The sequence below is a fragment of the Homo sapiens genome, chromosome 9, assembly GCF_000001405.40.
Source record: "Homo sapiens chromosome 9, GRCh38.p14 Primary Assembly".
NCBI classification, from domain to species: Eukaryota; Metazoa; Chordata; class Mammalia; order Primates; family Hominidae; genus Homo; species Homo sapiens.
Genome location: NC_000009.12, coordinates 63,676,440 through 63,704,415, shown reverse-complemented (window position 1 = coordinate 63,704,415; position 27,976 = coordinate 63,676,440). Strand labels below are relative to the sequence as shown.

The window sequence follows — 27,976 nt, the reverse complement described above, 5'->3', positions numbered from 1 at the left end:
CTCTTTGCCCGTGTCGCCGGAAGCCGCGTCGAGATGCCGGAGCCCCCGGGCCTTGGAGATGAAGGCAGGCCCCTGCTCCACCCAGGAAGGAGGGAGGCAGTGGGCTCGTGGGTCAGTGCCTTTGCAGGCGACAGCACGCCTTGCGGCCCTGGGGATGTTTCTGTGCCCCGGCGAGAGCCTTTCCGCCTCACTGCATTGTAACCCCATTCCCGATCACCGGGTGGGATCCATCATCGGATCCCAAGAGGAGTCCGCGCAGCCCAGCCGACACCCCGAAGCTCCTCCTTCACCGGGAACCCAAGCAGAAGACCGATCACGGAGGTCCTGACGACAGGACTCCTATGGGTCCGACCCTGGGTCTCCCGCAGGCCCCTCTGGTAGTCCTCTTCCCACCCGCCGCCTGGGGCTGCGCCGCAGCCGCCGCCGCAACCTCCAGCACCGCCGCCCCAGTCCCCGCAGCCGCCGCGTTGCCGCCATTTTTTAAAGGGTCCGCAGCCTGACTCTGCCGAGTAAGGGGGGGTGGGGGCGGGTGAGTCGGCCTCGCCAGTGCGCATGCGCGAGGCCGGAGCCGCCGCTTTGGTCACAGTGACCGCCACCATTGCCCGGGGATGGGTCCCTGAGACTTGGCGAAGTAGGAGCCCTGTGTGATCGTGCGTCAGAGTCGGGGCTGAGACCAGCCCTGGCCAGGGCAGTTACCAGGACGGTCTCCGGAGGCCGAGATTCGCGGAGGGTCCACCAGTAGGAAGAAACCCCAGGAGGAAGAAACCTCAGACAGATCGCCGGGGAGGCAGCGCGGGATCCCAGCCTCAGGCGTGCGCGGACGGTGTGCGGGTGAATCTCCCCAAAAGTGGCGCCCTTGTGATGTCGAGGACAGGTCTCCCTGTGTGCCCGTGGGCTGCTGTCTCACCGGTGGCTCGTCGTCGCGGAGAGCAGAACCCGGCAGCTTCAGGGGCTGCCTGGGGGTGGGTGTTACCTGCTGTATGTCTGTGTGCGTTATGGGTGTGTGTGTGTGTGTCTGTGTGTCTGTGTGTGTGCGCGCGCACGCGCGTCTGTGTGCCCACTACTGTCTCTTACGTCTCTGTCTCTCTCTCTCTCCCTTCTCGCTCTTTCCGTCGCCCTCTCTTTCTGTCTCTGTCCGTCTGTGTGTGCATGCGCCTTGGGACACATGTTCCCTGTGCGCCGGAGGCTGGGTTTCTTGCACGTCGGCCTTTCTTCTGGTCAGCCTCTCCCCGCGTCTCTGCCTGGGTGTTGTGGCCAGTTGGCAATCGTTTTCCCGGCGGTTCCGGTTTGGGGGTCTGTGAAGGCCTGGGCAATGTGGGCATCTGTGTCGGAGCCGCAGGGGTTTTCATTCCCTCCCCACCCGGAGCAGCCTCTTTGCTAGCCTAGATCCAGACGACCGCTCCCCAACCAAGGACAACGGCCTCCAAGCGCTCATTGTCCACCCGCAGGAGGGTGTCGGCAGACCTTCCAGAAGATGCTTCTCACGCCTCTCGCCCTCTGCCCTCATCGCGAAATCTAGCCACAGCTCGACGCAGGGACGGAGAAGGAAGCCGTCAAGGGGATGGGGCAAGCATCTCTGTCACTCAAAGGCATTATAGAGGTCCACCACAGAGGCATATCCAGTATGGTGCCCACCACCTCATCTTGGGGCTGGGTGAAGGGCAAGTGGCACTGCAGGAAATGGTGGCCTTGTTCTCTGTCCTCAAGTTGTTCCAAGATTGCAGACCACACCAGTGCTTGGGCTTGTGAGAATCGAGGGCTCTCCAACAGTTCAGAAACAAGCAGTCTGCCGCAGGGGTGAGAGGAGCAAAAGACACCCCCACCTATGCTTTTCCATGGAACATCAAGTCCCTCAGAGTATAATCTCTGCTGGATTCTTGCTTCCTTATTTTTCTGTGTTCAAGTTTCTTCTTGTGGTGCTCTAGCACTCTTCCGTCAATATAGATATTGGAATTAACGATTATTTATCCATAACTTTGCTTTCTCTTTCTGAGAATAACTAGAGTCGAATATCCATAGTCAGTCATATTGAAGAAAAACCTCAGAAATATACTTCTTAGTAACTCAACACCCAAGAGCAAATCATAATGGAAATTATAAAATATTTTTAATTAAAAAATGTATACTACATTATAAAATGTGTCATTTTAGAGGAAAGTGTAGAACCTTAAATTCTTATTTTATGAGGACAACAAATTAATATTTAAAATGTTTTGAATTTATTGGAAGAAGTTAGAAATATCAACAGAAATAAAAGGAAATAAAAAATACATGCATAGTGATTAAGAATACAGGGAAAGAAAAGTCAAGAAATATGGCCAAAATTTGTTAGTTGTTGTAGGAGCCATACAATAACAAAACTCTGGAGAAATGGCTTGATAAAATTAAGAGAAGAAACAAGTATGCAATCTCAGGAATCAAAATAGGAAATAATTATACATCAGGTGTCAAGAATTTTTTTTGTTTTTTGGAAAGGATCAGATGGTAAATATTTTAGGTTTTTGGGCTATATGGTTTGTTGCAACTAATCAATTCTATTGTTGTGGCATAAATTGACAGTATGTCAATGAATGAGCATGACAGTGTTCCAGTAATACTTTATTTATAAATACTGTCTGGCTTATTTGCCACAGTTTATTGAGTTTTGTTATAAATAATACAAATATCAAGAAGGTAAATTAGTATAGTATGAAAACGTTTAATTCAATAAATTTGGAAATATATGTAAAATGTGTACAATTACTTGAAACATGCATTTTTCCAAAAGGAACCTAAAGTGAAAAGAAAAATCTGAATTGTGCTACAACAAATGCATGTAATCAGTAGTCAGAAATCATATCATAAAGATAATTTCAAGCCATGATGACTTTACTGGCAAGTTGTTTCAAACATGAAACAAAACAATAATTCCATTCTTACATACAATTCTTTCTGAGCATGAAACAGGAAAGAACATACTCTATTTCATTTTATTATGCTATTATGACTCTGATATTATAACCTGACAAGGATAGTAAAGGGAAAGTAAATTAAACACCAATGTAATTTATGAAAATAATGAAGGAAAACTTAAAAAAGTACCATGCAGAAATAAGCAATGCATTAAAATGTAAGACATCACAGCCAATGTTTATTCTAAGAAACCCTGGGAAGCAATAATGGCCTCATGTAAAGGTATCAATTAATATGATACACCACAACAAATAACTTAACAATATTATAAGCATATTTAATTTTATTTTCTTAAAAAGTCATACATTTTAACAACCCGAAATTAAAAGAGAATCTAGTTTAACTGATAACATTTGTTTTCAAAAGTTCTATTGAAATTATAACACTTAACAATGGAATGTTAAAATATTTCCTTTGTGATTGGGAACAAAATAAACATAGATGGTACAAGCAATTTTATTTATCCTTTTGCAGGTCTTAGACACTGGGATAGGATTGTAAATATTAAAAAAAATAAGAATTATGAAAGAGAAAACAGATTACTATGTTACCGATGACACTAAGTACACAGAAAATTCAAAATGATTGTAAGATACATTATACTAATGAATATGAGCTTTTAGCAAGATGCTTTGACACAAACGTATTATGCAATATTGAAATGCATTTCATATAAGTAGAGAACTTTATTTAGATGTGTCAATGTGGCTTACTCTCACAAACATAATATTTAGTGGCATGATTAAGTCACAAAAGAATATGTACAGTATAACTCAGTTTAAATAAAGTTCAAATAAACATAGACATAACATTGACATAAATATATTCTTGAATTGAAAAACTTTAATGAAATCACTTCTCCCCAAAATTAATCTTTGTAACTAGTGCATCCAAAGTAAAACCCAGTAAGGTTTGATTTAGATATTGACAAGCTAATTCTAGAATTTATGTAAACTCTAAAAATATTAAAATTCAGTTAATAATTTATTGAGGAAGGAAGAATATATTACAGGAAATATTATAAGAATTAATGCAATGTGATATTAACAAAGTAATAAATAATCAATGAAATGGAATAGGTAGACTACAGTAAGGAAAATATAAGAACCCATGATATGTAAGAAAGCTAGTATTATAGATCAGTGGTGAAAAATAAATTTGCCAATAAATGAGAGTGAGAAAACTGGCTATACATATGGAAAATAATTAAAGTGATTCTTTACCTTATATAATATGTAACAATCAATTCCTTGGCGATCAATATTTAAATGTAAAGCCAGGCAAAAATTACAGAAAACCCGACAGTAAAACAAAGAAAATGGCTTGCACATGTGCTTTATAAAATGTAAAATATGTGTCCACCATACATATTTAGAATCACTTTAACATATTTTTAACACAAAAATGCAAATGAAAATGTTTTATATGTACATTATTACTTATACAACAGATTGACCAAAAACAGTCTGACAAGACAGACTTCTGGCAAACATATAGAGCAATAATAATTTCATATGCTTTCTTGGAAATGGAAATTATATCCGTTTTAAAAAGAGGCTTGTATTACCCAGTAATATTGAAGATGACCATATATTCTAATCAGCAATTGGCTTTCACTCCTTATTTTGTATGTACATGGTTGGCCATTAAGAAATGTGATCCAAAATATTTACAGGCTCAGTTAAGTACTATAAGCAATGCAAAGGTTAAACAACAGTAGAATGTGGTAGATTCATACAGTGGAATACTACACTTTAGAAAAAAATAGATAACTTTATTTAGATATGTTAATGTGGCTTACTCTCACAAACATAATATGCAGTGGTATGATTAAGTCACAAAAGGATATGTACAATATAATTCAGTTTAAATAAAGTTCAGGAACACAAAACAACAAGTTGGATTGTTTATAAAAGGTTTACTGGACACTAAATCTATAAAGATAATAACAGAAATTATTTTAACACATCCTTCAATTACCTTTCATTCCTCCAGAAATTTGTTGAAACCTCTTGAATGCCTATGACCTTTCTCATTTCCTCCACTGTTTAATTTCCTTTTATACTTTGTTTAAAACTTTGAATGGACATATGAGAGATGAAGTCATATTTTTCTAAATAAGTTCAAAAATATTTTGCTTTAAAATATAAGTAGTGATTAAATTTCTAAGAATTGAGCAATAGTTGAATGTTATACATTTAGTTTTCATGAATATTTCTCTCTCCACATTTCTTCTTCTCAACTTGCTCATATCCCTTCAAATGACAAAATACTTAGAAGTATTTGAGTCAAGTTAGATATATTTTTGAAGATATTATTTGCTTATTTATCTATGAGAGGTCAACAACAACTTCCATGAATATTAGGAAAGCAAATGTCGGTAGCTCTATTCACTTCAATATTGAATTCACCTATATCTGAAATTTAAATGTCAGTGATAAGACTGACAGAAAGTGTCACACACTTTAGGTAACACAGCACTAAGTGGCAACACTTTAATATTGTCACTATTACATTTTTCAGATATACAATATATACTTTACCAAGAATCCTAGTCTATTATGTTCTAAGGATGAGCTGTCTTTATACAAATTCACAATAAATAGCTGTGTAAATAAGAGTTACCATTTTTATTTTATAGCATAAAATGTATTTCAAATAGTTGTACAAATCAGATATGTTATAAAAGAAACATCTTTCCTATTATTGAATTACCCAAAGTTGCTTACCTAACATAGAATCTTGTGGAGGAAAATAGGCCAGTGAAATTCAGTGATTATTCATTATGATCAAGGTGATTAGTACAGAAATCTCCATGACTATTCTGTGCAGTGTCTTTTCTTTAACAATATTTTATAATCATTCTTATTTTTACTTTCTGTAGACAAATCCTTTCTTGTTTTGCCTCCTTTTAGGTACTTTTGAGATTATAAAAGTATATAGTAAAAACAAATGCACACACAAAACTATTCAGTTGGTATACTTAATTTTGTTAGAATAGATTTAGTCCAGGTATATTCCAGTGGTTTCTTACTGAGAGTCCATCCTAGTCCCCTGATTATTACTTGAGTGTTCACTGATGGTTTTTCCTTCTTGTTAACAGGAAATAGTTTTGGTTTCTGCTAAAAATGGCAGTTGCCACCAGTATGTGTGAGTTTTATTTCTTAGAAAATAACTATATATTTGGTGAATATCTTAGTTTTGCATTTAATTTGCTAAGCAGAATCAATGCAATCACTATCATATTCTATAGTTTTTCCTAATAGATTGATAGAGTAAAATGTATGGTTTTTCTAATTTTTAGCATTTGTGTCCAATAAAATGACTTTATATGATTTTTTTCTTGTTGGTTCATTTTTTTTCTGGTCAAAGTTTCTTCTTTAGTTTCTCATATAATTGATTCAAAACTCCTAAGTGATGATTACAGTAACCTTAGGTATTTCTTAATTCTCCATAATAAATATAGCATCTGAGTCTAATTTCTTCTGGGAGATTTATTAACTTTTAAGACAGCATGTGTCACATAATCTAACAATGCATTTTGCATACTAAAATGATGAAACATTCTTAATGAATTTAAATAGCTACTTTATCAGAAACAGGAGTCATAGGTTGAATTTTTTTGTGAGTAGTAGAGCTAAGAATATTTGTAAAACAGCTCTCCATGATGGGCTCCAACAGGATGAAGTAAGACCACCTACCAAGGAAGTAAGATCAGTCCCAAAATGAACTGTATATGAAATTCTGCTCTAAGATCTTTTTGCTTTTTAACATTTCAGAAAAGGCTAATTTTGGTAATGGACTACAATACTTGTTTTGCTACATAAGCTTTCAGGATTTTTTTTCTTTTATTTTTATTTTAAAATTAATTTTTGAGCAGTATTCTTGACTGCAAGAAAGCTTCTGTCAGTTTCCCAAATTACTCAAATAACATGTATTTTACACTGAAAATCATGAGCTCCTTAACTCAAAGATTTTCCTTGTTGTTTTTGTAACTATTTACCATACAATTACTTGTAAATGAAATGTATAACATAAATATGCGCTAACATAAAGGAAGATGTTTAAATATTTTTTAAACTTCTGAAAAAAGATAAAACTCCCGTTTTTTAAGAACATTGTATCTTTCTTTCATTTTATCCTTCTTTCTCCTCCAAATATATTAATAACTATCCTTCTATTTGTTACATTCTTTTACTTAAAGGGACTAAAGTATAAATCAGGTAATTAATACACAAAGCTTTATTCTGTCCCTTGCTTGTAGCACTACTTCATTCCAGTTTCCTCAGAGTTTATTATATAAATCAGACAGATTTGTAAATAAGTATTTTACAGTCTACATTTATTTGATTATGAAAATGGAAACAGAATAAAATGTGAACAGATAATAAACTTTACTTGTGTGTTTCTCCATCTTTTCAAGTTGATCAGGTATACGGATGGCATTTTAAATAATGTGTTAAATTTAGAGAATACATTAAATAGAAAAGAAAATTGTGGGAAATAGGAAAGCCTTTCCATTAAGGGTTTAGATATAAAATGTTCTATTCAGTTACAAACTAAACCGAAAATGAGAGGTTTTTTTTGTTTAACTGAAAGAGCTAGAGAGTAATTAAAGGTAATTGGCATGTTATTATTCTTAAAAGGTTCGCATTTCTGTTCTAAGAATACCAGGGAACAATTGAATAGATAAAAAGCAAACTATAAATTGCCAAATAGATCTTTTGTATAATAATACATCTCCCAAGACAAAAGATATTTCAGACCCATAAAAAATAAGGGAAGTGTATTTGCCTGACTGGTCTTGCATCTTGCCTGACCACAATGAATTTGCATTGGATTTTAAACTCACAGAATTATAAAATATCTTAATGTGTTAAGAGGGAATCAAAAGTGAATGTGATTAACTTGAAGGAACTAGTTGGCAGACTTTAACATTAGGCTAGCAGAAACTATTTAATAAATAAAACTGAAAGCAGAAAAATACTTTTCTTAAATAATTATTAGTGGCAGATTGATACTGTTAATATTATTGATTCAATCTGGGAAGTCCTCCCTCTTGCCCTTTCTCTACCCAGATCTTGCGTTCTTTTGCAAAATAAGAACAATACAAACTCATTATTATTATTATTATTATTTTTTTTTTTTTTTTTTGGAGACAGAGTCTCGCTCTATCGCCCAGGCTGGAGTGTAGTGGCGCGATCTTGGCTCACTCAACCTCCGCCTCCCGGGTTCACGCCATTCTCCCGTCTCAGCCTCCCGACTAGCTGGGACTGCAGGCTCCCGCCACCATGCCCGGCTAATTTTTTGTATTTTGTTTAGTAGAGACGGGGTTTCACCGTGTTAGCCAGGATGGTCTTGATCCCCTGACCTCGTGATCCGCCCGCCTCGGCCTCCCAAAGTGCTGGGATTACACGCTTGAACCACTGTGCCCGGCAACAAACTCATTATTAAGTCACTTATTTACTACTCTATTCCTCAATGAACTCTTTTGTAGACTTCTACCCCATCTATAACCAATGCAGTGGTACTCCTCCCTCTCATATTTAGTTTCTCAGCTCAAGTAAGACTTCCTCAGAGGTTTAATCTAATTAATCTTAATCTAATTAAAATAGAAACCCTTACCCATTTATTCTGTCCAAAGCAACATGTTTCCCCTCCCCTCCCCTTCCCCTCCCGTTCTCCTCCCCTTCTCCTCCCCTTCTCTTCCCCTTCTCTTCCCCTTCCCTTCCACTTCCTTTCCTTCCCCTTCTTTCCCCTTGCCTTCCTTCCTGCCTTCTTTCTTTTCCTTCTTTCTGTCTTTTCTAATACAAGGCTTGACCACTGGGGTAAAATTGTCAAAATGTAAAAAGGAGATAATTAAAAAATAAATAGTACCTAAGTAGTATGCTAAAATATACATGGGGCAAGATCATCTTTGCATTTTATCCTTGGGTGCATTCTGGACCACCTTAATCTTTTTTTTTCTTCCCTAAGACAGAGTCTCTCTCTGTCATGCAGGCTGGAATGCAGTGGCACCATGAAGACTCACTACAGCCTTCACCTCTGAGGCTCAAGTGATTAATCTTAAATAGTGCAATTATTCTATTTAATCACAAATGTCAGCATCTCTTTTCTTTAGTTTTGGCACATGATTTTCACCTTTTATCCTCTCTCTCTCTCTCTCTCTCCATGCTTCATTATATTAGTTCCCTAGGCTATCACAACAAATTGACACAAACTAAATGACTTCAACAACAGCAATGTATTCTAAAACAGTTCTAGAGGCTAGAAGTCCTAAATACAGTGAGGCCACACTCACTCTGAGGTCCCTAGAGAGAATCCATTCTGTGGATCTTCCAGCTTCTGGGGGCTGCCAGCATTCCTTTACTCATGCCAGCATTCCTTTACCCCAGCTTCTGGGGGTTGCACCACTCCAATCTCTGCTCCCTGGTCACAGGCCGAGGAGGGCGAATAACTTGAGGTCAGGAGTTTGAGACCAGCCTGGCTAACATGCTGAAACCCTTCCTCTAATAAAAGTATAAAAATTATCTGGGCATGATGGCAGGTGCTTGTAATCCCACTCCTCAGGAGGCTGAGGCAGGAGAATTGCTTGAACCTGGGAGGCAGAGGTTGCAGTGAGCAGAGATTGCACCACTGCACTCCTCCAGCCTGGGCGAAAGAACAAGACTCCATCTCAAAAAAAAAAAAAAAAAAAAGAAGAAGAACATTTGTCATTGAATTAAAGACCCGTGAGTATATTTCAGAATAAGCCCCTTCCCTTAAAGTCCTTAACTTAATCACAAGCATTGCCATATAAGGTAATATTCACTGTTTAACGTGTCATTATATTCAAAGATTCCAAGGATTAACGCGTCACATATCTTTTAGAAAAAACTATTCGGCCTAACTAAACTCGATGAGTCTTCATCTACTGACACTCAGGCTGAGTCAGATAAAAAGCTTTACAATATTCCACACCTCTCTCTACACGTGTTAAAAACAAGGAGAAAGAGTTTCTCTTAAAATTTTAAGTTCACTAAAAATAGAACAAAGCAGAAACAATTGAGGTTTTTGTGATTGTTGCTGTTTGTGTCTTTATTTTTAAAGATTCTACTTTGTACCATATATGCATGGTAAATTATTCATTATCATATCTGCTTTTTTTTTTCATTTGAAGTAATCATATTCCATGGAAAATATTTAAATTCCCAGGCATTGTTAGCTGTAGAGCTCATAAAATGTTCAATGCTTCAGTGAGTTGCAAATTGAAAACAGAAATAAATTCTTGGAGAAAAACTTGACAGTATTCTACACACTTTGCTCTTGATTGATGTCATGTGGTGATTCCAATAAATGACTTTTTTCAAACAAACTATAACTGATTTAAGTAAATGGGGGTGCAATGGTTCTTTCTTATAGATCTCATCTGCTGAGATGCTATACACAGAATTTCAATCATCTTACCCTATGATTTTTCAATGTTGTGTAAGAATGAATAATATTATTATTCATTATTATTTATTCTAAAAATAAAAATAATTATAATATTCATTATTCTAAAAATAAATTTTTTATTATTAATAAAATAACATAAGGATACATTTATTTATTTATTACAATTATGAAAATATTTAGAATGTACCATTTTCTAGGTAGTAAACTAGTGCTTCACATATTTTTGTTCATTTAATCTTTATTTTTATAAGTCAACAACTATAGATATTATTTTATATTATTTATACTTTATAACATATAATAAAGACATTTTAAAATATATATCAAATATATATTATAAAGTATTACATTATAAAATACTATATTTTATAAAGTAGATGACTATCGATATAGTCATTATATAGATGAATAAACTGAGGCATATTGTTTCTATAAAAACCTCAAGAGCGCACATAAAATAAATGCTGCAGTCAATGAGCCAAAACATCATACTAAGGATTTTGCTTCCAGAAGCTGCACTCTTAATTACTAGGCTCTAATGCCTCTTTTTATATAAATGATATCATACTGTTTGTTCTCTTTTGATCTAGCTTCTATTAATTAGCATATTTATTGAGATTAATCTATTTTATAGTATGGATGAAAGTTTCATTTATTTTATTGCTTGCAGTATTTCAAAATATGGATATATCAAAGCTTACTTATTCATTTATCTGTTAATGAATATTTGATTGTTACATGCTCTTCACTATTAGCCCCTCTCTCCTATAAAAAAGTGCTGTGAATGCTTTGGTACAAGTTTTTTATGTACATATACTTTCATTTCCCTACAAATTGATTGGCAGTCATATGATAGGTGCATACGTCAAAATATTTTAAAAACTGACAAGCCTTTTTCCAGAGTCATTGTACTAATTTCCATTACCATTAGCAGTGCATGTATGTTGGTTGTCCTCTATAGTTTTGCCAACACTTGGCATGACCAGCCTTTTTAACTTTAGCCATTCTTTTTTCTTTCTTTCTTTTTTTTTTTTTGAGACGAAGTTTCACTCTTGTTGCCCAGGCTGGAGTGCAATGGTGCGATCTCGGCTCACTGCAATCTACACCTCTCGGGTTCAAACAGTTCTCCTGCCTCAGCCTCCCAAGTAGCTGGGATATAGGCGTGCATCACCATGCCCAGCTAATTTTTGTATTTTTAGTAGAGATGGGGTTTCACCATGTTGGTCAGGCTGGTCTCGATCTCTTGACCTCAGGTGATCCACCCACCTTGACCTCCCAGAGTGCTGCGATTACAGGTGTGAGCCACTGCGCCTGACCTCTTTTTTTCTTTTTTGAGATGGGTTCTTGCTCTGTCACGCAGGCTGGAGTGCATTGGCACAACCAGAGTTCACTGCAGACTCCACCTCCTGGGCTCAAGTGATTCTCCCACCTCAGCTTCCGAGTAGCCGGTACTACAGGCATGTGCCACCATGCCTAGCTAAATAGAGACACCATGCTATGTCTCTTTCTTTTTTGTAGAGACAGGATCTCACTATGTTGCCCAGGCTGCTCTCTAACTCCTGGGGTCAAGAAACCCTGCTGCCTTGACCTTCCAAAGTGCTGGGATTACAGGCTTGAGCAACTGTACCCAACTCATTTTTGACAGACACAAATTAATTCCCTAATGACTAATGATATTGAGGATCTTTCCATGTGTTTACTTTCTATCTACATATGTTCTTTAGAGAAGAAGTATTCATTTAAGTCATTTGCCTACTTTTATTAGAGTTGCTAGATTTATTATCAAGTTTTGAGAGTTCTTACGTTTTCTGGACACAACTTTTTTGCCAGACATATATTTTGCAAATATTGTTCTCAGTAGTGTCTTATATTTCTATTTGTTTTACAGTGTTTCCTGAGGAACATATGTTTTACATTTTGATGAACTCGAGTTGTCAATTCCTAGTTTGATGAAACATGGTGTTTGTGTCATGTCTAAGTAGTATTTACTAGCCTGAGGTAAAATGCTTTTCTATATTTTCTCCTATACATAATTTTTCTTCCTTTTTTTTTCACTTTGTTTTTACATTTTACATTTAGGCATATGATCTGTACTAAATTAATTTTTGTATCATGAGTTACGTGTTAAGGTTCTACTTTTTGCATATGAGTATCTAATTGTTCCAGCAGAATTTGTTGAAGGGCTATCTTTTATTTACTGAATTACCTTTGTATCTTTGGAGAACACCAATTTACCAAAATTCTGTACATATATTTCTGAATTTTCTGTTATCTTCCAATGACATTTCTGTCTATCTTTATGCCAGTATCACACTATTTTCATTACTGTAGCCTCATAAGCTTTGGTATTAGATTGTGCTAATCCTTCAAATATATTCTTATTTTTAAGAATTATTTTGGCTATTTTAGACTCTTTGCATTTCTACTGAAGGTTTAAAATTAGTGTGTAAATTCCTATAAAACAATGCCTAATAATATTTTAATTGGGATTGTATTGAATCTATATTTAGGGATAATCACATTTTACCGTGTGAATTTTCTAACCCATATTCATATTACATCTTTCCATTTATTTAAGTCTTCTTTAACTTTCTGCAGTGTTTTGAGTTTTAGTGTACCAGACTCTCACATCATTTGGTAGATTAATTCCTAATTCTTCTACATTTTTCATGATATTATTAATAGTACTTTTATTTTAATTTTTTATTGTTCATTGCTGGTATATGGAAATATTAGTTTAATATGTTGCTTTTTTTCTTTTTTATGTTGCTAACTCACTTATTATAGCCAGCAGTGTTTTTGTAGATTTCAGTGGACTTTCTACATAGACATGCCGTCTATAAATAAAACCAATCTACATTTTCCTTTCCCGTCTGTAATTCTTTTGTTTATGTTTTTTGTCTATTTTACTTGGTAGAACGTCTAGTGGAATGTTAAAACAAAGTGCTAAGAGTTAATGGACTCATCTTGTTCCTGAAATAGGGGGAAATAAACTGATTTTTCTTCATTAAGTATGATGCCAGCTATTGTTTTTACATAGATATGTTTTATTAGGATATTCTTAAATTTCTTCTAGACAGTAATAACTTAGATCTTGTTTTATTGATCCAATCTGCTTTTAAATTGGTATATTTAGACCATTTATATGTAATGTGGTTATGTGTGCATATATATGTATTTTTTTTTCTTTTTTTTTTTTTTTTTGAGACAGAGTCTGGCTCTGTTGCCCAGGCTGGAGTGCAATGCGATGATCTTGGCTCACTGCAACCTCTGCCTCCTGGGTTCAAGCCATTCTCCTGCCTCAGCCTTCTGAGTAGCTGGCATTACAGGTGCCCGCCACCATGCCTGGCTAATTTTTTGTATTTTTAGTAGAGACAGGGTTTCACTATGTTGGCCAGGCTGGTCTCGAACTCCTGACCTCATGATCTGCCCACCTCAGCCTCCCAAAGTGATGGGATTATAGGCGTGAGCCACCGCACCTGGATATTTTTAGTTTTAAACCTATTATTTTGCTTTTGCTTTCTATCTTTCCTGAAGGAATTCAGAACCAGATACCCCCAAACATGCCACTTTGGCATATTGATTTTTTTGAGTTAAAGACACTTGAAAAATAGCAGATGCAAGAAAAACACTCTGATTTTCCTTTAAAGCACTCTGATTTTCCTTTTTCTTAAAAGTAGGAGGTAAAATTTCTACATGAAAGTTGCCCTCTTTATACAAGAAGGAAAGTAACAGTCTCATCACCCAGGATGAGAAGTTGAGGCAAGGGAAACCTGTACAAACAGACCTTGTTAAACCAACCCTTATCCTGTTAATCACCTCTTCACCCAATTAACTACACTAGTTCCAGCTCCTTTGTCTTGTCATATTTCACAATTTACTACTCTGTGTCTACTTCAGAACATAAGTGATTATGTCATGGAGTCTTCCTTCCTTAAAGAATCTCTCATGCCACATGATACATGTATTAAATAAATTTGTATGCATTTTCCTGTTGATCTGTCTTATATCAATTTAATTCTCAGGCTTAGCAGAGGAAAAAAAAAAAACTAAGAAGATGGTAATAAAATTTTGCTTCCCCTACCATCCCATCTGTTTTTTGCTTATTTTCCCTCTTGTTTGCCTTCTTTTCTATGAATTAAATATATTTTATGGTTTCATCTTATCTCCTTTTTTACTTGAGAATTAAAACTCTCTATATTGTTAATTTTAATGGTTGCTTTTGAGTTTGTAGTATACATGTTTAACTCATCACATTCTACCTTCAAATTATAATATACTACTTTACATACAGTATCATGAAGTAACAACATTTTCATTATTTTGTCCTAACTGTTGTTCTGTTATTGTCATGTAATTTATTTTTATATATGTTGTAAACTCATTATAAATTGTTATTATTCTTGTTTAAATTAGAGGTTAATAATGTTGTTTTCTTCTCTCTCTTTTTTTTTTTTTTTTTGAGACAGAGTCTAGCTTTGTACCAGGCTGCAGTGCAGTAGTGCCATCTCAGCTCACTGCAACCTCTGCCTCCAGGGTTCAAGCGATTGTCCTGCCTCAGCCTCCCGAGTAGCTGGGATTAGAGGCACATGCCACCACACCCAGCTAATGTTTGTATTTTTAGTAGATACGGGGTTTCATCATGTTGCGCAGGATGGTCTCAATTTCCTGACCTCGTGATCCGCCCATCTCGGCCTCCCAAAATGCTGGGATTACAGGCATGAGCCACCAGAACCGGACATGCTTTCCTTAAAAGCTAAATATTTTAGGCTTGTGTGCCATTAGGCTCTGTTACAACTACTTAATTCTGCTTTTGTAATTCTATAGCACCCATTGATAATACATAAACAAATGAGCATGAATGTGTCTCAGTAAAAATTTGTTCACATAAACAGGCAGTCCACCCATGAAGCTATAGCTTGCTGACCCCTTGTTTAAACAATCAATTGAATTCAAACAGAAATAAAAGGATCTTATATATTTAACCATGTTGATACCATTTCCAGTGCTTTTCATTCTTCTGTGTAGATCCAAATTTCCTTTTGATATTATTTTACTTCTGCCTGAAACACTTTCTTTAACATTTTTTATAGTGTTGTTTTACTGGTGTTGATTTCTTTCAGGTTCTAAGTGCCTGAACAAAATCTTTATTTCACCTACATCTTGAAAGATAGTTTCTCTGAGTCTACAATGCCCAGCTGACAATGTTTATCTTCCAGTACTTTAAAGATGTTGCTTCATTATCTTCTAATTTTCTTTGTTTCCAATAAAATGTTTGCTGGCATTTTTTGTTCCTCTGTGCAAACCGTGTTTTTGTCATTGGCTGCTTTGAGAATTTTTCTTTATCACTGGTTTTAAGCAATTTTATTTTAGTGTATTTTGTACACAAGACAAGGATGCCCTCTCTCACCACTCCTGTTCAACATAGTATTGGAAGTCCTTGCCAAAACAGTTAGGCAAGAGAAAGAAATAAAGGGTACCCAAATAGGAAGAAAGGACGTCAAACTATCCCTGTCTGTAGATTACATGATCCTATATGTAGAAAACTTTATAGGCCCAAAAGCTTAAGGCCCGAAAGCTCCTTAAGATGAAAAACACCTTTGGCAGAGTCTCAGGATACAAAAAGAACATACAAAAATTACTCGCATTCCCATACACCAACAAGAGTCAAGCGGAGAACCAAATCAGGAATGCAATCTGATTCACAATTGCTGCAAAAAGAATCAAATACCTAGGAATACAGCTAACTAGTGAGGTGAAAGGTCTCTATAAGAACTAAAAACACCAAAGATATCAGAGAGGATGAAACAAATGAAAAAACATTCTATGCTCATGGATAGGAAGAATCAATATCATTAAAATGGCCATATTGTCCTTATTTTCAAGTATGCTATTGCGCTCTATGACTGATCCAAACTCCTGCCAGATATAATTCCAAAAATCTGTTTGTTAATTTTATTATTTTATTTTTGGATTTCTAAATGCTTGGGAATTGGGAGATATGCACAATTGTCTTTGCTTTGTCCACAAAATTAAATGTGTATTTAGGTACTTATAGGACACTATTTGTAAAAACATTTATTTCTTCAGACATTGATGGTCTTGTCCCAGTTATTACCAACATCTACATGTTTAAGAATAAATTTTCTTTGCTATCTACTTCTTATTCCATTGAAAATTACCTTTCTATCCTCCTACTCTGGAAGTCTTTATGATTCTGTCCTAATCATTAGTATCCCATTGCTTCTTCAAGAGATGTCTATCAGTAGAATTTCTCCATTAATATAAGTTCATACTTCTATGAAAACTTTAAATCTCAAGTCTACAGTATTTCTAGTTCTAAAAAATATTTAAATTAGTTCTTTAATTATGTCCATCTTTATGTTTACTTTCCTTTTTTTCTAGCATTTTAAACAACTTTACGTCAACAATTCTTTATCTTCACTTTACCTCCCTTTACCTTTCTTCATTTTTTCCTAGCCATTGGATTCAGAGAAAATTATTCAACTTTTAAACTTCAAACTTGCTAGATCTATATTTAACTATGTCTATTGTTCTCTTCAGAACATCTGTTGAGTTTTTAATCCAAGAGCTATTATCAGTATTTTCTAAAATGCAACCTCCTCTTGCATGTCTCTGAAGATATGAATTACACTTACTGTAATTACATTTGTTTCTTGTCTTAATTCTGATTCTCTGAAATTACTTATTCTGTTTGCTAAGTTTTGTATCTTCTTTCTTGTTTTTCTTAAAAGTTGGGTGACAATATTTTACATGGGTAGTTTTTCTGTTAATCATAGCTTATCTCCAATGATTAGGAAAATAACAACTATGAAGTAGGACAAAGTAACCTGGTTTCTTGTGTTTTAGCATTGCTGCTCCCTGTTCCTTCCTGGTTTTGTTAATTACCTGAGACTCTGCCCTGTTGATGTTAGTCAGATTCTAAGACTCACCTTGCCAAGCAAGCACTGCTTTGTTATTCCAAAGTGAAGTTCATTCTTACTTTGTCTGGAAAGCAGTCTCTGCATCTTTTACCTCATTATTTCCCTCCTTTCATATTATGTTTCTTCCTTTACCAATTTTAATGGAGCTTCCCCTTTTTCATCTCTAAGATCTCCTTCTCTATCTCAAAAACAAAACAAAAAAACATTATCAGCATTAACATATACAACAGAGAGCTTCATTGATGTGGTTTGGCTGTGTCCCCACCCAAATCTCATCTTGAATTCCCATATGTTGTGGGAGGAACCTGGTGGGAGGTAATTGAATCATGGAGGTAGGCTTTTCCTGTGCTGTTTTCCTGATAGTGAGTAAGTCTCATGAGGTCTGATGGTTATTATAAGGGGGAGTTTTCCTGCACAAGCTCTCTTTGCCTGCTGCCATCCATGTAAGACATGACTTGCTCCTCTTTGCCTTCCACCATGATTGTGAGGCTTCCCCAGCTACATGAAACTGTAAGTCCAATTAAACCTTTTTTCTTTTGTCAATTGTCCAGTCTTGGGTATGTCTTTATCAGCAGCTTTAAAACAGACTAATACAGTAAACTGGTATCAGTAGAGTGGGATGCTGCTGAAAAGATACCTGAAAATGCGGAAGCAATTTTGGAACTGCGTAACAGGCAGGGGTTGGAACAGTTTGAAGGGCTCAGCAGAAGACAGGAAAATGCAGGAAAGTTTGGAACTTCCTAGAGACGTTTTGAATGGCTTTGACCAAAACGCTGATAATGATGTGAACAATGAGATCCAGGCTGATGTGGTCTCAGATGGAGTTGAGGAACTTGTTAGAAACTAGAGCAAAGTTGACTCTTGTTATGTTTTAGCAAAGAGACTGGCAGCATTTTGCCCATGCCCTAAAGATTAGTGAAACTTAGAACTTGACAGATGAATTAGGGTATCTGACAGAAGAAATTTCTAAACAGCAAAGCATTGAAGAAGTGACTTGGCTGCTTTTAAAGGCATTCAGTTTATAAGGCAAGCAGAGCATAAGAGTTCAGAAAATTTGCAGCCTGACAATGTAATAGAAGAGAAAAACCCGTTTTCTGAGGAGAAATTTAAGCTGGCTGCAGAAATTTGCATAAGTAACGAGGAACTGAATGTCAATCCCCAAGACAATGGTGAAAATGTCTCCTGGGCATGTCAGAAGTCTTCACAGCAGCCCTTCCCATCACAGCCTCAGAGGCCTAGAATAAAATGGTTTTGCTGGGCCCAGGGTCCCCATGCTGTGTGCAGTGTAGGGTGTTGGTGCCCTGCATCCCAGCCACTCCAGCTGTGACTAAAAGGGACCAAAGTACAGCTTGAGCTGTTGCTTCATAGGGTGGAAGCCCCAAGCCTTGGCAGCTTCCACGTGGTGTTGAGCCTGTGGATGCACAGAAATCAAGAATTGAGGTTTGGGAACATCTGCTTAGATTTCAGAAGATATATGGAAACACCTGGATGCCCATGCAAAAGTTTGCTGCAGGGATGGGGCCCTCATTGACAACCTCTGCTAGGGCAGTGAGGAAGGGAAATGTTGGGTGGGAGCCCCCACACAGAGTCCCTACTGGGGCACCGCCTGGTGGACCTGTGGGAAGAGGGCCACCATCCTCCAGACCTCAGAATGTTAGATCCACCAACAACACCATGTGCCTGGGAAAGCCACAGACACTCAACACCAGCCCACAAAAGCAGCCAGAAGGCAGGCTATATCCCTCAAAGCCACAGGGGCAGAGCTGCCCAATACCATGGGAACCCACCTCTTGCATCTGCATGATCAGGATGTGAGACATGGAGTCAAAGGAGATCGTTTTGGAGCTTTAAGATTTGGCTGCCCCTCTGGATTTCGGACTTGCATGGGGTCAAGAAATGAAAAGCATAAAAATTGAAAAGTGAAAAGAAAAAATATTTTTATTCACAGAACATATATATGTATATTGCATATGAAGAAAATCCTAATATATTTATTTAAAAAGCTGTGAATAATAAGAATCAAATTCAATAATGGTGCAGAATGTGTAGAATGCAAGGTCAATACACAAAATACAATATGGAAAATTAATGGAATTTCTAAATACTAGAAATAAACAATTGAGAATACATTTAAAAGTAAAATTTTAATGGTATAAAAATAGTTAAGAATAATTTAAGTGAAACCTTTAAAAATCTTTCACACTAAAACTTTTTAAAATTTCTTGTAGAGAAACATTACAGAAGACCTAAATAAATGTAAAGATCCACCATGTTCATAGATTTGAAGATGCAACATTGTTTGATGTGAATTCTCTGGAAGTTAATCTTTAGAATCAATGCAGTAGGGGCTGGGCGCAGTTGCTCACGCCTGTAATCCCAGCACTTTGGGAGGCCAAGGTGGGTGGATCACAAGGTCAGGAGATCAAGTCTATACTGGCTAACACGATAAAACCCTGTCTCTACTAAAAAAAAAAAAATACAAAAAAATTAGCCAGGCATGGTGGCACGGGCCTGTAGTCCCAGCTACTCAGGAGGCTGAGGCAGGATAATTGCTTGAATCTGGGAGGCTGAGGTTGCAGTGAGCCGAGATTGTGCCACTGCACTCCAACCTGAGTGACAAGGTGAGATTCTGTCTCAAAAAAAAAAAAAAAAAAAGCATCAATGCAATCTATAGTCTATAGTTTGTAATTTATTGACTACAATGAATTCTATATCTATTTACTGCAACTCTGTAGTAAATTGTGGCAAACATTTTGAGAGAAATTCACAAGCTGTTTCCAAAATTTGTTTGGAAAATTCATAGGACCTAGAATTTTGAGAAAAAAATAGAGCCAATTTTCAGACATCTAAGAAAGCTGCAGTATCAAAGCATCATAACACAAAAATAATAAGGATAAAGAAGGGTTCAAAATTCATAGGACCTAGAATTTTGAGAAAAAAATAGAGCCAATTTTCAGACATCTAAGAAAGCTGCAGTATCAAAGCATCATAACACAAAAATAATAAGGATAAAGAAGGGTTCAAAATTAGACCTCCACCTATGCAGTAAATTAAATGTTTATAAGGGCATGTAGATAATTCAGTGGGGAAAGTAAGTCTTTAACACAGGCTTTTGAAATAAATGCATTCTCATATTTAAAAAATACATGCATCAGTCCTTTGTATACACAAAACTAGTCCAATATTTTTAACGTAGGCATAAAAATGAAAAAGCAAAATTCAGAAAGCTTTTAAAAGAAAAAAATTAAACAATATCTGCGAGCTATTATAATAGGAAAAATATTTCTGAACAGAGAAAGCACTATCATAAGAGTAAAAATTGATAAATTGTAGATATTAATTAAAAATGTATCCTAATAAAACTGCAAAATGTAAGAAAATATAATTTTAAGCCATAGACTGTGATAAATTATTCCATATATGTATGAGAAAAAAATTGCGTGTTCAAAACGCACAGAGTACTCCTGAGATCCACTAAATAGTTATAAGAATCTTGAACAGGTATTTCACAAAACAAGAGATACAAGTGGCTTATAGGAATGTGAAAAGATGCTCAATATTATTAGATAAGGGGAAACACAACCAAAATGCATCGAAACTGGAAAGACTACCATTTAAAATGATAATACTAATATTGGCAAATATGTGGGGAAACTAGAAGTCGTGTCTATTTCTTGTGAGAGTGTAAAATAGAACAACTGGCTGGGCGTGGTGGCTCATGCCTGTAATCCCAGCACTTTAGGGGGCCGAGGCGGGCGGATCACGGGGTCATGAGATCGAGACTATCCTGGCTAACATGGTGAAACCCCGTCTCTACTAAAAATACAAAAAAAAAAAAAAAAATTAGCCGGGTGTGGTGGCGGGCGCCTGTAGTCCCAACTAATCAGGAAGCTGAGGCAGGAGAGTGGCATGAACCTGAGAAGTGGAGCTTGCGGTGAGCCCAGATCACGCCAGTGCACTCCAGCCCAGACGACAGCGCGAGACTGTGTCTCAAAAAAAAAAAAAAAGCAGAACAACCGCTTTGAAAAATAATTCGCTTCTCAATAAGGTCAACATACATCTACCCTATAGCACAGCAATTTCAATTCTAGAAATTTATCCAACAAAAATAAAAGCATATATTTACACAAAAACCTGTTTGAGAATGCACCTAAGTCCTTTATTTGTAAAAGCTAATTCTGGAAGCAATCTGAATATTCACTAACAGACTAATGAATAAGCAAACTCTGACAAATACATAGGCAACTCAGAAATGTGAGGAAAAATAAACAAACGATACACACAAATATTTGGCTAAATCTCAAATATGTATTTATGCTAAAGAAAATAAACCAGATACACACTCACACACACATCCTGTAGGAATTCTAATTATTGGAATTTGAAGATGAACAAAATTAATCAATCATGATAGAAATTATAAGGGTTTAATCCGAGTTATTTGGGATGCTGAAGCCGGAGAATCGCTTGAACCCGGGAGGCGGAGGTTGCAGTGACCTCACATTGTACCACTGTGTGGGGAAAAGCAAGAGAGATCAGATTGTTACTGTGTCTGTGTAGAAAGAAGTAGACATAGGAGACTCCATTTTGTTATGTACTAAGAAAAATTCTTCTGCCTTGAGATTCTGTGACCTTACCCCCAACCCCGTGCTCTCTGAAACATGTGCTGTGTCAACTCAGAGTTAAATGGATTAAGGGCGGTGCAAGATGTGCTTTGTTAAATAGATGCTTGAAGGCAGCATGCTCCTTAAGAGTCATCACCACTCCCTAATCTCAAGTACCCAGGGACACAAAAACTGCGGAAGGCCGCAGGGACCTCTGCCTAGGAAAGCAAGGTATTGTCCAAGGTTTCTCCCCATGTGATAGTCTGAAATATGGCCTCGTGGGAAGGGAAAGACCTGACCGTCCCCCAGCCCGACACCCATAAAGGGTCTGTGCTGAGGAGGATTAGTAAAAGAGGAAGGAATGCCTCTTGCAGTTGAGACAAGAGGAAGGCATCTGTCTCCTGCCTGTCCTTGGGCAATGGAATGTCTCGGTATAAAACCCGATTGTATGCTCCATCTACTGAGATAGGGAAAAACCGCCTTAGGGCTGGAGGTGGGACCTGCGGGCAGCAATACTGCTTTGTAAAGCATTGAGATGTTTATGTGTATGCATATCTAAAAGCACAGCACTTAATCCTTTACATTGTCTATGATGCAAAGACCTTTGTTCACGTGTTTGTCTGCTGACCCTCTCCCCAAAATTGTCTTGTGACCCTGACACATCCCCCTCTTCGAGAAACACCCACAGATGATCAATAAATACTAAGGGAACTCAGAGGCTGGCGGGATCCTCCATATGCTGAATGCTGGTTCCCCGGGTCCCCTTATTTCTTTCTCTATACTTTGTCTCTGTGTCTTTTTCTTTTCCAAATCTCTCGTCCCACCTTACGAGAAACACCCACAGGTGTGTAGGGGCAACCCACCCCTACACCACTGCACTCTAGCCTGGGTAACAGAGTAAGACTACGTCTTAAAACAAACAAACAAACCAAAGAAATTATACAGGTTTGCCTCTGAAGAAGAGAAGTTTGAATAAGCACAATAGTATTTTCTAGATTTAGTGTAATTAGGTAAATATATCAATTTATAAAAAGTACGAAACCACATTTTTGACACGTTTATTATATTTAAAATATAGCGCAATAAAATAAGGTTAGGAAATGATTGCATATTACTCTCTGAGAGGAAGAATGTTATCTGTTGGTAGAATTAATAAAGTTACTCATTTCTTATAAGAAGTAAAGATATATTGGCCGGGTGCGGTGGCTCATGCCTATAATCCCAGCACTTTGGGAGGCTGAGGCAGGCGGATCACAATGTCAAGAGATTGAGACCATCCTGGCTAACACGGTGAAACCCTATCGCTACTAAAAATACAAAAAATAAGACGGGCATGGTGGCGGGCACCTGTAGTCCCAGCTATTCAGGAGGCTGAGGTAGGAGGACAGCGTGAACTTGGGAGGCAGAGCTTGCAGTGAGCCGAGATCATGTCACTGCACTCCAACCTGGGCTGCAGAGTGAGACTCCATCTCAAAAAAAAAAGAAAAAAGAAGTAAAGATATATCTATTAACCTGTATAGGTATATATAAGCTAAAAACAACCATTCAACTTTTGTGGGCATAGTAGTCTGTGTCAGGCATTTTTGTATAAATCATAAACATTTAATTCTCATTCAAATAATAAATATATTATCTCACGGTTATAAAGGTATAATAAGTACAATTTTAAAAAATAGACAAACTTTTCTGAATATTTCCAGTACAGTGGTATATCATTTTTTTCCGATAGAATAAATAGAAAAATACTCAAACCCTGGGTAATATTTTGCAGAAAATGAATTAGTTACACTTATTCAAGTTGAATTATTCTAGTTCCTCAATTTTATATTCCAGAAAAATATATGCTGACTATATTTTTAATGCTTTTTTTTTTTAGAGAAGTTTGTTTATTGATATGTACATCACTTTTACTAATTCAGGTTTGAGCAAAGTGTGACTCTTTATTCAATTTTCCAAAGAGTTCCAAACCAAAACTTGTGGATTTCCAGTTGATCTGTATATCACCTTGCCACCTCTGGCTTTTTTCTCTCTAATACAGGTATAAGAATAACATTTAACAATAAATGATTTGTGAAGCCAGTTGAAAAATGTTCATGCTATATTAATCAACTTGATAAAATGCATTAAATTTATGAATTTCTATAGGTTTGTTAGTGCCTGGAATCTGTAGGTAGAGACACCCATAAAAAAGTCTTATAATATAAGCTATATAACTTAGTGAAAAATCAATAAGGCATACTAATGTTTGCATAGGATGACAACCTGGTCATATTAATTTTTCTGAGAAAATAATCTCAAATGAAAAATCACTTCCCTAAAGCATTATTTGTTTTTATATCAGATTTATTTCAGTTCAACCAACATTGCACGCTCTAAGTATTAGACATTGTGATTGGTCCTGGGAATGCTAAGATAAAAATTTCTCCTTTTCTAACCTTGAATTCACAGAGAGGTAGAAGCAAGAGAAGCATAAACATATAATTTCAATGCAATATGGTAAGTAAAATGATAGTGGTACTTTTTCTGAATTTTCAGATATCAATTATTTATTTATAAACAGTTCTTTAGAGGGTGATTTATTTTCTCTATAGACGTCAACAAGATACACTTGCCTTGTATGGCAAAAATAAATTAATTTTAGCTTTGTGCAGATACATCCTATTGAGTTACAAAGTGATGCTATCAAACACCATTGACAACAACAAATTCAGGATTTATGGCTCTCTTTGTCTCTGTTTCTCTCTCCTTCTCTCTCTCTCTCTCTCTGTGTGTGTGTATGTATATACATATATGTATATTATACATACATAGTTTAGGATACATGTGTATTCATATATAATTTTATTTTTTAGAACAAAATTAAAAATAAAGTGTCTTTAAATGAAAGTCTGTGTTTGTAACACAATCTTATGACATCAGCATTAAAAAGGCTATTCAGAACACTTCCTCAAATTGAAACTATTACCAATACTGAGTTAAATATTTTAGGACTACTTCATTATCTAGGAAATTTGAGAAGCAAATTAACTCTTTTCTCAGAGTATTGTGATACCATATCTTTTCTTGTAAAATAAGATATTGTTTAATTATAAAATATTGTCAAATTTCTGAAAAAGTGTTTATATAAGTGTTAGGAATATGTTAGCCCTGGGAGCCATGTGTTACTTATCATTGTACAGATCTTCTTGCTGACACAACTGGGTATGGTAGACGGCCTGATATGATTAACTGCAAGTAAAGCAGAAATTATTAAAAACAATATTGAGGCCAGGCAAGGTGGCTCATGCCTGTAGTTCCAGCACTTTGGGAGGTCGAGGCAGGTGGATCACGAGGTCAGGCATTCAAGACTAGCCTGACCAAGATGGTGAAACCCCGTCTTTACTAAAAATACAAAACTAGGTGGGCATGGTGGTGGGTTCCTGTAATCCCAGGCTGAGGAAGATAATTGCTTGATCCCAGAAGGTGGAGGTGGAGGTTGCAGTGAGTCGAGATCACACCACCGCACTCTAGCCTGGGTGACAGAGTAAGACAACGTCTCAAAAACAAAAACAAAACAAACAAACAAACAAAAATTAAATTAACTGGATGTTAAATGTGGTTTCTTTACATTTACCAGAATTTCTGCCAAGGTCCTAATGGCCCCAAATAATAGGTGCTACATTATCAAGCAGATATATCAAGAGATTGTGATAATGTTAATGAAACCCCTTTGCTCATCACTCATTTCCAAAATTTATATTTTCAAAGGGAATTTCGTACAGAGTTCCTAAAAATAGGGATCATGATGCCAGTGTATTGCCTCACTGATTGCTGAATGAAGAGGACTATACTGAAGCATTCAAAGAACGTGATGTGCCTCTGGAGCAACTGAAGGATTGCTATCTGACTTATGCATTTAAAACCTTCGAAGTGGAAGTTTGTCTGGAATGGCTTAGGCAAACAGGCTGGGTTGGATTGAGAATTGAATGTATACATAAAATTTGGTTTGGTCAGATGAGAACACCAAATGTGGTAGCTAGCTCACCTTTATTTATGAGATTTTTATTGGGTTGATTTGTCTTGAAAGAATCAAATCTAAGAGAAATGTTTGGAATGGCTAGATGATCCTAACAGAAGAAATCTTACAGGTCTTTACTGCTAAACCTAAGGAGATGAGAGTAAACAGTAAGTGGCCAACTCAAAGAAGCATGGACTATGTTGAAACATGGACTATAGCTGCAATTTCCCAGTGGTGCAGTTTTCAAGCGTTTTACCCCAGGAAAGAAAAAAATAAATAAATGAAAAGTAGCCATTTCACCATTCAGAGGATAGAGACTGTTGCCCAGTGAAAACTGCATGAATTATGTAATAGTTTTATGCTTGTTTCCCCCACTCACCATTCCAAAACTATAAGACTTCAAGATAGAACAGGAGGTATGAAATTTTAACAGCACATAAAAAAATAGTGAACATTCTATCCCCGCACTTCATTGCCATTACTAAGGCTAAGGCAGGACTGAGTTTAGAATGCAGCAAAGCTTTGAAATGTATAAGAGATAATATCTCTAATATTCAAATGCACCATAAACTCAAAACTTAGAATCAATCCTATTTTTAAAATACTGAATGTGACAAGAAACGTTATAAAAGTTTTCAAGATATCAGTATATGATAGAAAGAGATGTATTGCTTTAGCACAAATCATTCTACAAAAAAAAATTCTTCTGAAATAAATTACTTATCCATATCCTACAAATTTTCTTTTTTCTTTTTCTTTCTTTTTTTTTTTTTTTTTTTTTTGAGACAGAGTTTCACTCTTGTTGCCCAGGCTGTAGTGCAGTGGCTTGATCTCAGCTTACTGCAAACTCTGCCTTCCGGGTTCAAGCAATTCTCCTGCCTCGGCCTCCCAAGTAGCTGGGATTACAGGTGCCAGCCACCATGCCCAGCTATTTTTTTGTATTTTTAGTAGAGATGGGGTTTCACCGTGTTGGCCAGGCTGGTCTTGGATGCCTGACTTCAGCTGATCCACCGGCCTTGGCCTCCCGAAATGCTGGGATTGCAGGCATGAGTTGCCGTGCCCAGCCACAAATTTTCTTTTACCTTGGAAAACATATATGCAAATATACTTGTCAACTATCCGACAAAGGTCTTCAGTATGTATGTATGGATTCATTGAACTTTGTTTCTTTTTACATAATGAATATTTTATGATTTTTAGCTTTGGTTTTTTGAAATGAACCAATAAATTGAAGAGACACAAGAAGTAATATGTGTGTAAATACCAGCACGCTTAGCCCCTCAAATAAACCTCTTACAGGTGTCTGACTCCTAAATCCAATTTGATATTTTTTCAGAACTTGTCTTTATCAATTATTTACATTCTGCTTCATTTTCTGATTTGTTTTTTTACTTTCACACTCACTTATCATTGTTTTACACAATAGTTGTTTACTACAGTAACAATTATATCTGACATAAATGTACTGAGGAACAAAACAACCATCTTATGGCATACAAATTAGCAATGGGAGAAGGCTAACCCCAAACATATGCCAAGCCAGGGGCCAGGAAATCCAGGGATGTGGTTAGGCAGAAACTGGGAAGACACTTTATAGCGATTCCTATCTTTGTTACAGACATAAAGGAGATAAATTATAATATGAAAAAATGGCCCTCGCAGTTCTAAAGAGATTAACTAAAAGTCTAGTACCTTTTAAAGATCTGAATAGGAAACACTTGTCATTTATTGTCTCTAAGGGCAGCCACTGTAAGACTTCAAAAGAACCTTGGTCTCCACAGTCTTTTATCTTAACCTGAACATTCCCTTTCTATCAATCCCAGGTCTTGAATCAAACTCAACCAATTATCAACCAGAAAATGTTTAAATTCACCTATAGCCTGGAACCAACCCCCAAACCCCAATACCCTCCCATCCCCCAACCCGCCTGCCAGCCCCAACCCCTCCCACCCCCACTCCCTCTGCTTTGAGTTGTCCCACCTTTCTGGATCAAACTGATGTATTTCTTAAGTGTAGTTAATTGATGTCTCATGCCTCTCTAA

The 27,976-nt window shown here is 36.6% G+C and overlaps 1 long non-coding RNA gene across 1 annotated transcript, besides 1 other annotated feature; it reads left to right on the top strand.

Moving 5' to 3' along the window:
* Window positions 422-1,278: an enhancer, noted in NCBI's record as "H3K27ac-H3K4me1 hESC enhancer chr9:68298872-68299728 (GRCh37/hg19 assembly coordinates)". NCBI's record gives its function as "activates a minimal SCP1, AML or CMV promoter by ChIP-STARR-seq in primed H9 embryonic stem cells {active_cell/tissue: H9 hESC(primed)}" and the evidence as "EXISTENCE:reporter gene assay evidence [ECO:0000049][PMID:30033119]".
* LOC124902167 (uncharacterized) lies at window positions 538-15,683 on the top strand. Its single transcript, XR_007061531.1, has 2 exons — window positions 538-831; window positions 14,859-15,683. It is a non-coding gene; the product is annotated as an uncharacterized LOC124902167 (long non-coding RNA).
* Window positions 15,684-27,976: the final 12,293 nt, after the last annotated feature.